This window comes from Homo sapiens, chromosome 9 (assembly GCF_000001405.40).
Source record: "Homo sapiens chromosome 9, GRCh38.p14 Primary Assembly".
Lineage (NCBI taxonomy): Eukaryota > Metazoa > Chordata > Mammalia > Primates > Hominidae > Homo > Homo sapiens.
In genome coordinates, this window is record NC_000009.12 from 72,200,513 (window position 1) to 72,216,145 (window position 15,633).

At 40.0% G+C, this 15,633-nt stretch overlaps 1 protein-coding gene across 39 annotated transcripts in view, besides 1 other annotated feature; it reads left to right on the plus strand.

Moving 5' to 3' along the window:
• The window catches only part of GDA (guanine deaminase), a 145,262-nt gene that overhangs the window by 85,905 nt on the left and 43,724 nt on the right, over positions 1–15,633 (plus strand). For 21 of the 39 annotated variants that reach the window (XR_001746423.3, XR_007061376.1, XR_007061377.1 and 18 more), the window contains 4 exons: positions 2,059–2,230; positions 7,713–7,826; positions 10,175–10,262; positions 13,374–13,479. Coding sequence is in view for 29 of the 39 variants with exons in the window: in XM_017015338.2 (XP_016870827.1) it covers positions 2,059–2,230; positions 7,713–7,826; positions 10,175–10,262; positions 13,374–13,479 (480 nt within the window). In the remaining 10 variants the exon portion in view is untranslated. Of the gene's footprint in view, positions 1–2,058; positions 2,231–7,549; positions 7,660–7,712; positions 7,827–10,174; positions 10,263–13,373; positions 13,480–15,633 lie in introns of those variants that run through there. The other 18 variants (XR_007061381.1, NR_147240.2, NM_001242507.3 and 15 more) reach the window with 3 other exon arrangements.
• Positions 2,818–2,977: a silencer, noted in NCBI's record as "silent region_19946". NCBI's record gives its function as "represses an Ori minimal core promoter by ATAC-STARR-seq in GM12878 lymphoblastoid cells {active_cell/tissue: GM12878}" and the evidence as "EXISTENCE:reporter gene assay evidence [ECO:0000049][PMID:35858748]".

Sequence of the window (15,633 nt, forward strand, 5' to 3'; positions counted from 1 at the left end):
ATTATAAAGTCTTTGACGACAATATGCCTTATTTTTCTCTGGACTCTCCACAGGGCTTGGCGGTTTCCTAAATATAGTAGACATTGGGAAATATTATTTGGTTAAACAATTTAACTGCATGAGGAAGTTACACTGCTATTCCGTTTTATGACGGGAGAGAAAGCAAAGACCCAAAGGACTGACATTGTAGAGAGATCAGTGACTGATACCTGAGAGAAATCCATATTCCACCCTCCCTTTCAGAGTGCTTCCCACATTATAGGCCCACTTAATGCTGCCTTCTTGACGTCCTTAAAAATTTGTCACAGTTCTTTATTTCCATAGTCAGTGAATTAACAATTCCATCACGTGGAACGTAGTGACCGAGAGTACTGAACCTACAGACAAACTGCCTGGGTTTGAATCTCAGCGCCAAAGCTGACTAGTTAACAGTTACTTTTTTTCAAGCTACATAAATTCCCTGAGCTTTAGCTTACCCTTATGTAAAGGAGGGTAACAGTACTCTCATACTTACTAAGTTTCTTGTGAACATTACATCATCATCATCATCATCCATAACATTTATTGATGCTTTCCATTATCTAGGCATTGTTCTTACACACACTAAATACATCCTCATGACAGCCCTATGATGCTACTACTATCTCCATTTTACATAAGGGGAAACTGAGTCACACAGAATTTTTTTTTTTTTTTAATATGTCAAATATCTAACTGCTGATTTATGGTCAAACCTGATTTCAGATCTTAGCAGGCCAAAACCAGAATGTATACACTTTAACTCAACTGCTGCCCACAGATGAGATGATGTATGTAGAACGCTGTGCCAGTGCCTAGTGAATGTACATATTCAGGAAACATTAGCTGCTGTCACCATCATTATTATAATAACTGACTACAAAAAAGCTAGTCTTTTCCATGCGATGTAGAGGCTTTCTTGTAGTCAGACAAGATCAAGATGACCACTGAGTCTGCCATTCCTTGCTCTTGTTTTAAAATAAAGCATTTAGAGTTACTCATGGCTTTATTTGGCTTACAGTTAGGTGGTATGTATACATTTGATTTGATAGCATGAGGAATTATTTGTAATGTTAGGTTTCAAGTTCAAGTTGCTTATGTGATTGAATACTTACCTAGGATAATGGTGGCAGTAGAGGGTCCCATCTTTTGGCAAATATCTGTTTGGATGAGGTTGGATACTTAATAGTGACTGTGGTGAACTGCATTAGCTCTTTAGAAAAGCATGAAGTGTCTGTTAGCACCATACTGCCTCAATTCTGTGGGTAGTGCCTCTGAACACTTTCCAGGACTTTCTAATTATAAGAATTAATAGAAATATGAATATTAATTGGTGGATCATGGTGGTAGCATTAGTGATCACAAGCATCCTGAGCATGGTTGTCACAGCATCATATGTAACTCCCTCTTCGCTTCACTACTTACACCACTGCCCGTTTGTGGTCCATCTCCTGAGATCGCCTGTCCCTAACCAGCTTGCTCTTGCTGCTTCTATTTCAGAACTCAGTTTCTGTAACACGTGGGAAAAGACTAGGTTTCTTGTAGTCAGACAAGATCAAGATGACTGCTGAGTCTAAAATTGCAGCCAGTCTGTTTCTCACCTTTAGTTGCCCTTAGTGACTGGTGTGCACATTGCTCAGCACGGCTCTAGAAGTTTTAAAGGCCTCCTCTTCCATTCTTGATCTCTGACCTACAACTATCAGTTGTGAGAACAAAGTCATGGGATTAAATCAGAGTTCCCGTCCTTTCTTGTGCCACCACTGCTTTGCTTCTGCTCAATGCTGTGTTTTTCCCTCCCTTCGTCATCACTGGTTAACCCCGACCAGCCATTCCAACCTAGAAGCTATATCTCTCCTAGCAGAGCTTCATTTTTATGTCCTGACCTCTAAATAATTGGAGAATTTACAGTTGTCTGATTGCATTACCTATAAACCTGTGTGGGTGAACAGTGAAATCATGCTTGGGAAAAAATGTGATTTAAAAATATGGGAAATGACTGAAGATATTATTAAATACTTTTATTCTCATCTTAATTTCCAGTGAGTTCTTCATGCCTGGGCTGGTTGATACACACATCCATGCCTCTCAGTATTCCTTTGCTGGAAGTAGCATAGACCTGCCACTCTTGGAGTGGCTGACCAAGTACACATTTCCTGCAGAACACAGATTCCAGAACATCGACTTTGCAGAAGAAGTATATACCAGAGTTGTCGTAAGTATCTTGTGTGTGAGTGTGGTATTCTGTTTGGTCATCTATAGAAATATCAGTTTCCTAGGACAGATTTAAATTATAAAGCATAAGCAGTTAAGCCTAAGATGGGCCATAGAGAATTTTTAAGTTTCTTTTTCACAGTCCAGTGAGTTTGTGACCACCTCACCTACACAGCTAGTCAGTGGCAAAGAGAGAATTTGAATCCAAGTTTCCAAAACCCCAATCTGGTGGGTTTACGTTACTCTTTTACTTTCTGTGTTTTACTTTACCAAATCTGGGTTTAATGAATATGTGTATTTCCCTACTCCTGCTAATCCATAATGCTGTTCTGAGGACCATATGGATTCATTATGTGACCTTTGCAAAGTTATGTGACTCACTTTTCCCATCTGTAAAAAATAGAGATCATGATAGTACCTATTTCACAGGATTCTCATGATAATTAAGCAAGTTAATATTTGTGAAGTTCTTAGAATAGTGCCTAGCACATGGTGGGAGCTCTATTTGTTTGCTTTAAAAATGCCCAAGGAAATTTAAAATTAAATATTTAAATTACTGTTAGAAGGAATATCATGTTATTCTGGGAGCTTTGCAAGGAAGGAAAATAGGATGGTCCCATATTGCATGGCACGTGGTAATGTGACTTGAGCACTGACACCACTAGAGGGAACTCTGGGGCTAGTACAGTCATTGAACAGTGGCAGTAGTGTGTACCAGCCATATGTTGAAGGCTCTGAAAGTGTCCTTCCTTCTCCTCTTTCAGGAAAATCAGTTCCTTTCTTACTCCAATCCTGTGCCCAGAACCAGAATCTACTCAGGAATTAGAAACAGTTTCTGCAGTAAAGGAGCTAAAGCGCAAATGCTGCCTTGTCTGATCATTATGTCCTGGTGTTCAGCGCACTTGGTCTGAACACTCATGGATTTTTGTGGGACCCATTGATTCCTCCTAAGGTGTTCACTACATGTGGTGGTGGCAGTATTATAAGCCTTCCACATCAACTGACCTAACCATCTTGCCAGTTTTTTTGGTCTTGCATCATTCCAGTCTTAGAGAGTAAAAGCAAGTGCTTTTTTTTTTTCTTCTTTTTTTTGGAGACAGAGTCTCACTTTGTCACCCAAGCTGGAGTGCAGTGGCATGATCTCGGCTCACTGCAACCTCTGCTGCCCAGATTCAAGTGATTCTCCTGCCTCAGCCTCCCAAGTAGCTGAGATTACAGGCACCTGCCACCACACCCAGCTAATTTTTCTATTTTTAGTAGAGACGGGGTTTCACCATATTGCTCAGGCTGGTCTTGAACTCCTGACCTCATGATCCACCCACCTCGGCCTCCCAAAGTGTCAGGATTACAGGCATGAGCCACCGCGCCCGGCCGAGCAAGTGCTAACATTTATACACTTGCCTCACGTAATTATAAATTCAGTGCAATTGTGGATCTTACATATTTAGCATGCACCACATGACACTAGAAAAGCTGAGAAGGACTAAAGCTATGTATAAAGTAGCTGGTGCATTGTGTTAATGAATGGTGTTAACCACACCAAATCTTTATTCTCAAAATTTATTTATGCCTCACATTGTTCTAAAAAAGATGTGAGATAGCTGAAAATTGCGTAGTATACAACAAAAGAAAATGAGTCATGATATCAAGGCAAAGAAAAAAAAGGGGGAAGGAAAAGTAAAATAAAACCAAGAAAACAATGTCTACTGTGGGGGTCCATGCATTTGTTAGTTTGTCATGAATTTGGCTTTAGATTTCTAGAACCTGACCCAAAGAGGGAAATCAGTTCTGAAATTTACACTGCTTTTATGATTAAAAAACACATTTGTTAAGGTAAAGCATATCTATGCTTCATACTGAAACTTAAGAAAATTAATCTCAATATTCCTTAGTGTGGATAGACACTATGCTGCCAAAATATATATTGTAAAGATTCTATACTATCAAGAAGTCCAGATAGATCATTCTTTTATGTTTAGAGAGGTAGAGTATCAAAGACTATATATTTTTCAGGCAGTACTCCATATAAATTATTTCTGACATCAGAGATTTGTTTAAGTATTTGATGTCAGGCCGAGTGTGATGGTGGTTTAAGTATTTGATGTCAGGCCTGTAATCCTAGCACTTTGGGAGACCAAGGTGGGTGGATCACCTGAAGTCAGGAGTTTGAGACCAGCCTGGCCAACATGGCAAAACCCTGTCTCTACTAAAAATACAAAAATTAGCTGGGTGTGGTGGCATGTGCCTGTAATCTCAGCTACTCAGGAGGCTGAGGCATGAGAATCGCCTGAACCCGGAGGAGGAGGTTGTAGTGAGCCAAGATCAGGCCACTACACTCTAGCCTGGGTGACAGAGTGAGACTCTGTCTCAAAAAAAAAAAAAAAAAAAAAATTGCGGAGCACATATCCTATGTTCTTTCTTATGTGTCTGATAATGAATGAGTGTGGGCCCACAAACTTTTAAGTTGGAGGCACTGAGGGTATGGCTGACATCTGTTTAAGGGTGTGGAGATGTGTTAACTAGCCACGTAGCCTACTCAGTGGGATGAGCTCAGTGGGAATAAACAGTAGTAGCTTTGGGTTTCCTTCCTCCCTTCCTTCTTCCCTTTCTCAGGGGTCTCCCTGTCCTGTCCCTTTACTGTAATTAGGGCACTTCCTGAACTTTCTAGTGTTTTCAGTTCATTCTAGTTGTGGAAAGAAAAACTTCACACAAATTAAATTTAACAGAGTAAATTGAGCAAAGAACGATTCCAGAATCAGGCAGCTCTCAGAACCAGGAAAGGTTCAGAGGACTCTGCCCAGCAAGGTGGGCAGGCAGCATTTAAGACAGAAAATGGAAGTGAGGTATAGCAACAGCTTGATTGTTACAGCTCTGGGTTTGCCTTATTCAAACTTGTTCTAATCACTTGGCACCTGTGACTGGCTAGAGCTCAGCTGCTGTGATTGGCTGAGACTCAGCTATTTGTTACAAAAGCATATTACTAATCAGGCTTTCAGTGAGTTGATAAACTAAGTTAGGTTGCAGTTCCTTATAAACTCAAAGTTGAGAAGCATGCTCAGGCCAAATTTAGCTTGCTTTAACACAGTCCAATTTGAAGTTTCAATTTCTCATTCACTAAAATCTTCTCCCATATAAGCCCTGTACCTCCTGGTTTGGGCCTGACACTGAGGAAGGGGCTTACTATCAGTGTTTGTGTAGTGCTTCTAAATAACCCCAGCTTTCCGTTTCAATTTCATCTTTAAGTCAAGATTGTAGAAAGGTGCTTAAAATTTTGAAAATTTAGAAAAATTTAGATTACATATCCGTTTTAATTTTGAGTTTTATTTTAGTTTGGTTAGTAAATGTAATGTGTCATTTTTCTTGGGGATAGCTGAGATTTATGACCTAATAAAAGGTTAATTTTTATGATTATTCTGCGATTTTTTAAAAGAAGACTGCATTTTCTCTGTTGATTTGACATTTTTTTCTATCTCTATGAGATGAAGTTGTTAAAAGTCTTGAACACTTCTATTCTTTTGCTGCATATTCTCCCATATGGTAAGACAAGAACATTTTCATTCTGTTCCCTTCTTCATCCCTACCTTTTTTGCTACGTCCTATGTTATATCATCTGAGATTTTAGTTCCATTTTTTTTTGCCGTGTATACTATATTTAAGATAATATTTAACTTTTAAGTTTAATTTAAAAAAATTATCTCAATTTAATTCCAGTTTTTTATTTTAACATCTGCACTTAATTTAACAATGAGGGCCGGGCACGGTGGCTCATGCCTGTAATCCCAGCACTTTGAGAGGCCTAGGCGGACGGATCACCTGAGGTCAGGAGTTCAAGACCAGCCTGGCCAACATGGTGAGACCCCGCCTCTACTAAAAATACAAAAATTAGCCAGGCATGGTGGCGGGTGCCTGTAATCCCAGCTACTCAGGAGGCTGAGGTGGGAGAATCTCTTGAACCCAGGAGGTGGAGGTTGCAGTGAGCCAAGGTGCACCATTGCACTCTAGTCTGGGTGACAGAGTGAGACTCCATCTCAATAATAATAATTATTATAATTATAATTTAACAATGAGCTTTGCTTTTTATTTTGCTACTTGGATCCCTGTCTTCATTCATTTTTGTTGGAATATATCCTCTGACAATTCTTTCCAATCAGGTGAGTGATAAACATTCTAAAACCTAGAATTATCAAAAATGGCTTTACTTTTTTTTTTTGACTCTTGAACAATGCCTTAGCTGTAGAGAGAATTCTATTTGAAATTATTTATCTATCAGCATCCAATGTGCTGACATCAATGTGATTCTCATTTCTTTCTAGTTAATTTTCTGGCCTTTGAGATTTTTTTCTTCATTCCTGATATTCTGAAATTGTAATTGTTGATCATCCCAATTCATTCTCAGTTTAATTCTTCAATTCATTCTCTTTAATACATAGTTCTTTCAATAAGAGAACTTCTGTCTTCCTTCTGTTTCTAGGAATTCTGTTATTTCTCTTTCTCTTTCTCTCTCTTTCTGAGTATATTCCTCTCTTCAATCTATTCTTCCTTTTGATAATTACTATTAGAAAAATATTGAAACTTCTGTTCTGTTTTCATGTCTCTAAACTTTTCTTTCACACTACATTCTTAGGAAATGGTATGGGCCAGTTTTGTAAATCATTAACTCACTCTTACTATTTATAATAACCTGTTCCTCTTTCAAGATATGACATCCTGTCCTATTCATCAAAGGATGCTATTTTTCATTCATTTTATGTCTCTTGTTGTTTTAGTAATTCTGCTTCCTCAGGTGTTCATTCAGTAAATATTTACTGAGCACATCCTAGAACCCATACACTTTTCTAGTTGCTGGAGATTAAATTTGATACCTTTGTCATGGTATTGGCTTTCCACCTGGATTTGTGATGGAGAGCTCATCCTTGTCTGTAATTGACAGGTTCTAAACATCCTCTGCTGGTGGCCAGATCTTTTTGTTTTACATGAAAATTATCTTAATATTTGGAAAAATTGACAGGTTTCCAAATTCTTTTGACTTTTGGGGCTAACCAATATTACTGAGTTCTCATTTGCTTTTTTGAAACAATTGACTGGGCCAGGTGTGGTGGCTCATGCCTATAATCCCAACAACTTTGGGAGTCTGAGGGCAAGAGGATCACTTGGGGCCATGAGTTCAAGACCAGCCTGGGCAACATAGCAAGGGCTTGTCTTAAAAAAAAAATAGCTAGGCATGGTGGCATGCATCTGTAGTCCCTGCTACTTGGGAGGCTGAGGTGGAAGGCTCTCTTGATCCCTAGAATTCAAGGTTACAGTGAGCTGTGATGTGTGATGGCACCTCTGCACTCCAGAGCAAGACCCTGTCTCAAAAAACAAAACCCAAAATAACAACAACAACAAAAAATGGAACACACTGGATCTAATTAGAGGCTACTGTCTAAGGTACGGCATGTTCATTTCTATTATCCTAACTCCAAACTATTTCAATCCTGCAGACACTTGAGCTTCTGATGTCTGTACTAGTCAAGAAAACCCTGTTTTTTCACAAAGGAGGAAACATGGAATGTAAGCAACCTTCTCAAGGTCACGTAGCTAATAACAGGCAAAACGTAAGCAAGAGCCACTGTCTGGAGGGTTTTCCTCTGCATTTAAAAGCTTCTGCTAAAGATATGCCCCAAAGTATTCAATCCACTAGTCCTTTTTCCAAGTGCTCAGACAGGTCAGGCAATATCCGTTCCATTTTCTTTCTTGAAGATCTTCTCACCTCCTCCCATTCTCTTGTTTCTGGTCAGCATTCTCTGTAGCACTACTGTAATCTTGGCATTCTCTTTGCCTCTTTCCTGCGTTTAATGCCCACTCCCTGGATCCAGGAATTACTTTGGATTACTCTTGTGTTTTACTAAAAGACAGTTTCTAAAAGCTTCCTAAGAAAGAGTTCATGGAGAGTAAAATTTTCAAGTCCTTCGGTACTTAATCATATTTCTATGCTACCTTCACACTTGATTGATAATTTACCAAGGTATAAAATTATATGTTAAAAATAACTCCTGTTGTGACAAACAACTTATATGTACTTGTGGGAAGACCTCCTTTTTAATTGCTAGAACATGAGCATTGCATTTTTTGCAAGTACTTAATTGTCTGTGTATCACTGTGGCCCTTAGAAAATTTTCTAAAGTACTTAGAAAATAGAAACCTATATAATAGAGCGTTTTCTATTTTCTAAGTACTTTAATTATTTACTTAGGATTTTTGGTTACAGAATGATATATATGAGTTGAATTTGAAGGCATTGTTCTGCTTCCAGCATTGTTAGTGAGAAATCCAATGTCGTTGTGAGTCCTGTCATTTATCTGTGACCAGTTTTTTTTTTTTTCCTGGAGTTTTTAGCATCTTTTCTGTACTTACGAACTTAATATCTCACAATTATATGCCTTACTTTGGGTTCTCTTTTTATTCCCTGTGCTGACAATTCTATGAGGATTTTAATTTTGGAGATGAATATTATTTTTCATATTTTTGTCCCTTCCATTTATTTAAAAAAATTTAGATTTCTTATTCTAAATGTTGGATTGCCTAGATTGAGCCTAATTTTCTTATGTTCTCACCTTTGATTTTCATCTTTTCCTTTTCCTGAGCAATTCTCTTGTAATTTATCCTACAACCCTCCTACTGGCTTCCACATTTCATTTATAATATTTTTACTTTTGGAGAGCTCCTGCATTCTGATTTTCATAGCATTCTGTTCTTGTTTTGTGGGTGCAATAGTGTGTTTTATTTCTTTGAGGATGTGAGTCATAGTTGTTTTTTTTAACTGAGCTTTTTTCTGACCTTATAGATTATGTTTCCTCTAAGATTTTTTCCAGATTCTTTCTCCCCCTCCTTATCTTTTTGATAATAGATTCCCTCCAATGCCTATCAAACCCTGGACATACATTCATACTGTGATGCTATAAGGTGCTGACTGGAATTTCTGGGTGGAGGTATCACTTGTTGATGGTAACTTCATTATAGGATGAGTAGTGAAGGCAGTGAATTTGGGTCCCAAACGTCACTGTGAAGACATCTTTCTTTTAGAGCCATTCATTTTCTCTAGAAAATAATCGTTTAGTCCCCTGCCAGGAGTTGTGGGAGTAGTACACGTGGTATTCTGGGGAAAATGACTGAGTGCCCTTGAGGTCAGCCAGATTTTCACTTAAACCTCTGCTTTACCTTCTCTTTTGGAGCTTGTACCCTCTAAATACTATCCAGGTTCTATAAAGAGTAAATCTCTCTTATAAGGAAGAAGTTAAGGGTGGTTGGCTGATTTCAACAAGGTTCCTGCCAGGGTTTAATCATACCTGCATAGACTTCCAGCCAGTCCCCTGCTAAAACCCACACACTTCTCTCCTTCTTTCCAAGTTGCTTCCAGGTTCTCGTCCATGTTTTTTGTCTTCCAAGAAGATATTGAAATGTTTTCTCTGCTCATGTCTCTCCTCTCATGTTCTTCTTGTGGGTTAATAACGTTTGTACTCCTTTACTGTCATGTTTGTTGTAGTTTGCGAAGGAAAGGAGATAGATATATGTGATTAACCTTCCAGGTTGAGCTAAAGTCTGGCTGAATATTTTTATTCTGTAGTAGAAGAAAAACTTATTTATGTACTCCCAGATGCAATAAAATTTGGATATCCTTAAACAATCCTAAGAAAGAAGGAATTCATTAGTATCACATTTTAATGAATTCTGAAGCACAGAACTGTGTGAATCGAGAAAAAATCAGAAGTATCAGCTTCTCCTCCAGCTAACTTTTGGAATATAAATACCTTTTGCCATTTACCTAACTGTACTCTACATCAAGATGGCATACCTTTAAATAAAAACATTTTAAAATTAAAAACTAAAATTCTGTTTTCCTCTGGATGTACCATGTGACTTTTCTGAGCACACGTGATTCGCGGTTTTTGTGATTTATTTTTAGAGGAGAACACTAAAGAATGGAACAACCACAGCTTGTTACTTTGCAACAATTCACACTGACTCATCTCTGCTCCTTGCCGACATTACAGGTGAGCAAATGAAGCATGATTTATGGGCACCTCAAGCAAAGACAGCCAGACCATCGTGGCAAACAACTTATATGTACTTTTGGGCAGACCTGCCTTTTAATTGCTAGAACATGAGCATTACATTTTTTGCAAGTAATTACGTGTCTATATGTCACTGTGGCCCTTAGGAAATTTTCTAAAGTACTTAGAAAATAGAAAACTGTATCATAGAGTGTTTTCTATTTTCTAAGTACTCTGATTATTTACTTACAATTTTTGGTTACAGAATGATATATATGAGTCTGAATTTTGTGTATTAATTTAGGGCTTTTTAGGGAAACTTTACTAATTCTAGTTGTGGTAATAGTTTCTTATATCAGCAGATACATGGTGGCTATTGGCTAGAGTCAGGGCACTGTGCTAGATGCTGGAAACGCAATGAGATAAAAAATAGTCTCTGCCCTTGAGAAGCCAGACAGAATACCTACACCATTGATCACTAACCTTAGTAACAACTATGGTGCTGTTACTAGACGTCTAGCATTGTGCAAAGCACTCTGGAAGAATTAGTTCAGCAGCAAACAGCCTTCTGAAGTGGTTACTGATGTCCTCATGTTACAGATGGTTAGACTGACGCTCAGAGAGGATAAGTAACATGCCCAGGGTTGCACAGCTAGTAAGAAGAGCTGATTCTGGATTCGGGTTGATGATTCCAAAACTTGTACCCAGCACAGTACCTGGCACATAGCAGGTGCTCAGTAAATACTGTTGGCTGATACACTGATGCCACTGTTTGCTTATGCAAAAGACCTGACCTAATGGGTGACTCTGAAAATAGATACTACAGTCTTCAGAGAAGGCAAAGAGAACCCAGAACTACGACATCTGGGAAGGCTTTATGAAAGGGTCCTTTAAACTGGGCTTTGAAGTAAAGACAAGATGAGGAGAGGACAAACTGTCTTCTAGATAGGGGAAGGACACAGGTATGGGAACAGGAGTGTCAATAGTGGATGCAGGGACCACAGTAGTTTAACTAGAGGAGTGGATTCATCGCCTGGGGGCAGTGGGAGAAGAGGGTAGGCAGATGGGAGGGTTCACATTGTAGAAGAGCTCAAATATGCACCAAAGACTCAAAAAAGGTTCTGAGTCCAGGTGTGAGTGATGTGATGAAAGTGGTATTTTAAGGAAGATTAATCTAATGGCCAGTTATCTAAATGAATTACAGGGGAAGGAGAGAGGCAGAAAGGTTTTTAAAAATCTCTTATGACAGAGATGGAGACACTGTAAAAACAATTACCATTGTCCCATATAGCCTCAGCTTTCTTGCTGAAATAGAATTCTTCCAGCACCTTTGATGAGGACTAGGTTCTAGTGCTGAGAGCTGCTAGTAAGACTGCGTAAAATTCCTCACAGATAATATTGGCATTGTTTCAGTTAAGAATAGTATGGCCAGGCGCGGTGGTTAATGCCTGTAATCCTGGCACTTTCGGAGGCCGAGGCGGGCGGATCATGAGGTCGGGAGATTGAGACCATCCTGGCTAACATGGTGAAACCCTGTCTCTACTAAAAATACAAAAAATTAACCAAGCGTAGTGGTGGGCGCCTGTAGTCCCAGCTACTCAGGAGGCTGAGGCAGGAGAATGACGTGAACCCAGGAGGCAGAGCTTTCAGTGAGCTGAGATTGTGCCACTGCACTCCAGCCTGGGCGACAGAGTGAGACGCCACCTTAAAAAAAAAAAAGAATAGTAGCAGTATGTTGCCTAGATAACCACATGCCTGACACCTTATATATATTATTGCATGTATTCCTCACAACCCTACACATAGCAGAGAACACTGTACATATATAGGTTTAGACCTTAACCAAATAATATCCACCACCTGGAGTAATCAGAGGAATAAGGAATCAGTCCAAATCTTTCCAATTCCAGTGCTCATGTTCTTATCCCTCAGCCATTCTGTGTTTTGTCTAGAAGAGGACCATGATAGAGAGAGGGAGAGAGAGAGATCCAAGGGATGGTGGTAGAGTAGGAGACAGGAGGGAGATTGTAAGTTGGGGTAGAAGAAGCTGAGTGTAGGTATGCCAATGACTAAGAGAGTCTTTCTTTAGGACCTGAGACTGTTTGCTCCTTTACCATGTGATAAAATGAGAGCAAAGATAGTTACATATTTAATGAAAATATAGACACACTGGATAAGCAAAGGGAAAAACTGAATAATAACTTAAAAACACCCAGCCAAGCACAGTGGCTCACGCCTGCAATCCCAGCACTTTGGGAGGCCCAGGCAGGCAGATCACAAGGTCAGGAGATCGAACCATCCTGGCCAACATGGTGAAACACTGTCTCTACTAAAAATACAAAAATTAGCTGGGCACAGTGGTGCGTGCCTGTAATCCAAGCTACTCAGGAGGCTGAAGCAGGAGAATCACTTGAACCAGGGAGTTGGAGGTTGCAGTGAGCCCAGATCACGCCACTGCACTCCAGGCTGGTGACAGAGTGAGACTCCGTCTCAAAAACAAAACAAACAAACAAACAAAAAAACCAAAAAACCCACCTGACAGCCTGAGAATGGGGATGGGGGAGGTAGTGGGTTAAAGTGATGAATAGAAAAACTTTTACTGTTTACTGAATATAGTAGGGAATTTGTGGTGGTTCTTGTTCTTAAGTGGTGTGATGGTGGATGATCTTTTACATTTTCATTTATGTTTTCCATATATGATTTTAATTTAAAAATTACTGTTGAAAGCTTAGAAAAAGTACTGTTTTGGCCGGGCGCGGTGGCTCACGCCTGTAATCCCAGCACTTTGGGAGGCCGAGGCGGGCGGATCACAAGGTCAGGAGATCGAGACCATCTTGGCTAACACGGTGAAACCCCGTCTCTACTAAAAATACAAAAAATTAGCCGGGCGCGGTGGCGGGCGCCTGTAGTCCCAGCTACTCGGGAGGCTGAGGCAGGAGAATGGCATGAACCTGGGAGGCGGAGCTTGCAGTGAGCCGAGATTGCGCCACTGCAATCTGGCCTGGGCTAAACAGCGGGACTCCGTCTCAAAAAAAAAAAAAAAAAGAAAAAGAAAAAGTACTGTTTCAGAAACAAACATGCCTTCATATTCTTTTTGTGTATACTTTACAGATAAATTTGGACAGCGGGCATTTGTGGGCAAAGTTTGCATGGATTTGAATGACACTTTTCCAGAATACAAGGAGACCACTGAGGAATCGATCAAGGAAACTGAGAGGTAAAAGGCCCATTTGTCTTGATTTGTCTTACAGGTGAATTCCTGTGCTGCACTGATGGAGTTAGAGATGGAAAAAGGAAACAGGATACTGTTATCACCCAGTTGGGATGTGCACATAGTGACTCAGAATGTTCTGTTTAATGCAATGGGTCGGTTAGTCTACAGTGAATTTGATCAAACACTCGATAATCATTAATGATTTACAAAGAGCTTTCCTTTGTAGTGCCACACTTGATCCTCATAGAAATCTCCATGAAGCATCTGTCTTTTTATTTATTTTTTATTTATTTTTATTTTTTTTTTTTGAGACGGAGTCTCACTCTGTCATCCAGGCTGGAGTGCAATGGCGTGGTCTCAGCTCACTGCAACCTTCAGCTCACTGCAACCTCTGCCTCCTGGGTTCAAGCGATTCTTCCACCTCAGCCTCCTGAGTAGCTGGGACTATAGGTGCATGCCACCACACTCAGCTAATTTTTGTATTTTTAGTAGAGACGGGGTTTCACTATGTTGGCTGGGCTGGTCTCGAACTCCTGACCTCGTGATCTGCCCGCCTCGGCCTCCCAAAGTGCTGAGATTACAGGCGTGAGCCACCACGCCCAGCCCACATCTGTCTTTTATGATAAGGAAGCTGAGTCTGACATAGGCTAAGAGGCTTGCTCACAGTCATACAGCTTTTAAGTAGTGGAGCCAGAATTCAAAACCAGGGTCTATGACTCTAAATTCAAAGTTCTTTTTTTTTTTTCTTTTCTTTTCTTTTTTTGAGACAGACTGTCACTCTGTCACCCAGGCTGGAGTGCAATGGCGCGATCTCAGCTCACTGAAACCTCCACCTCCTGTGTTCAAGAGATTCTCCTGCCTCAGCCTCCCGAGTAGCTGGGATTACAGGCACGTGCCACCACACCCAGCTAATTTTTGTATTTTTAGTAGAGACGTGGTTTCACCAGGTTGGCCAGGCTGGTCTTGAACTCCTGACCTCAGGTGATCCACCTGCCTTGGCCACCCAAAGCACTGGGATTACAGGCATGAGCCACTGTGCCCGGCTCAAAGTTCTTTCTCTCATGATATAGATCACACCTCATATTCAATGTAAGTAAAGAGAATAAAAGAGAGAGAAACAGAGGGTATGCAAGAATACTTGCTATGGCATGTGTTAATTTAAAAATGATGATGGAAGTGAATAATTATTTGTGAAATAAAATAGTATACAAGAAGTTAGGAAAAATGAGTTATAGTTACAGGTTAATGAAAGACTTTCACTACAAAAGGATTTTTTTAAAAGATACCAAAGTAATATGTGTTTCCATGGTCCAGAACTTAGAGAAACACAAAAAGGTATAAAGAAGAATTTTTTTTTGTAATGAAACCACCAAAAGTTACCATAATAGGGTATCTTTTATTGTTTTCTCAAGGTGGTATATGCATCCTTCACTACTATTTCGTCCTACCTTGGGAACAGGAAAGTTGTTCTGGATGTATGCTGTAATGGCCATAACAGGCTAATATAGGGATCTAGAATATCCCCTCTCCACAAAGGTGACCTGAAAGAACATCTCTGCAAGCTGAAATGCAGGCATACAGGAGGGAAGATGTGGTTCCTTTTTCTGCTTTGGTTCTACATCTGTGCTCCTAGGGAATAGGGCCTCACTCTACTACCTGTAATAAAAGCTCTGAGGATGTTATGTGGTGACACAGGCTAGAGAGAGACCATGGGAGGGACCAAGGCCCACTCTGCTGCTGCTGGACATTGAGCTGGATTCCCAAAGATTGTGGACAGCCTACTTTGGAAAGATTTCCACCTCAAAGAATAGGATACCATATGCAGATAGAATCATAAAAAGTAAAGATGTGCAAGGAAAATGAAAACATGTTTCCACGTAAAGACTTGCAGGTAAATGTTCATAGTGACATCATTTATAGAAGACAAATGCAGAGCAGGTTCACTGCACATAGGTATCAATCCCAGGGGAGGACTCTAAACACCTCACCAATACTGCACACCACTTGCATGAATCTGGTGAGACAGCACACTTATACAACAAGTTAAGCAAAGCAAGTTTATTATGCACAGATAGGTAGCAAGGGACAATAGAAGCCTTGGTGAACTGATCCTCCACGGCTCAGGAAAGTTGCCCAAGAGTCTCATATGTGCATGCC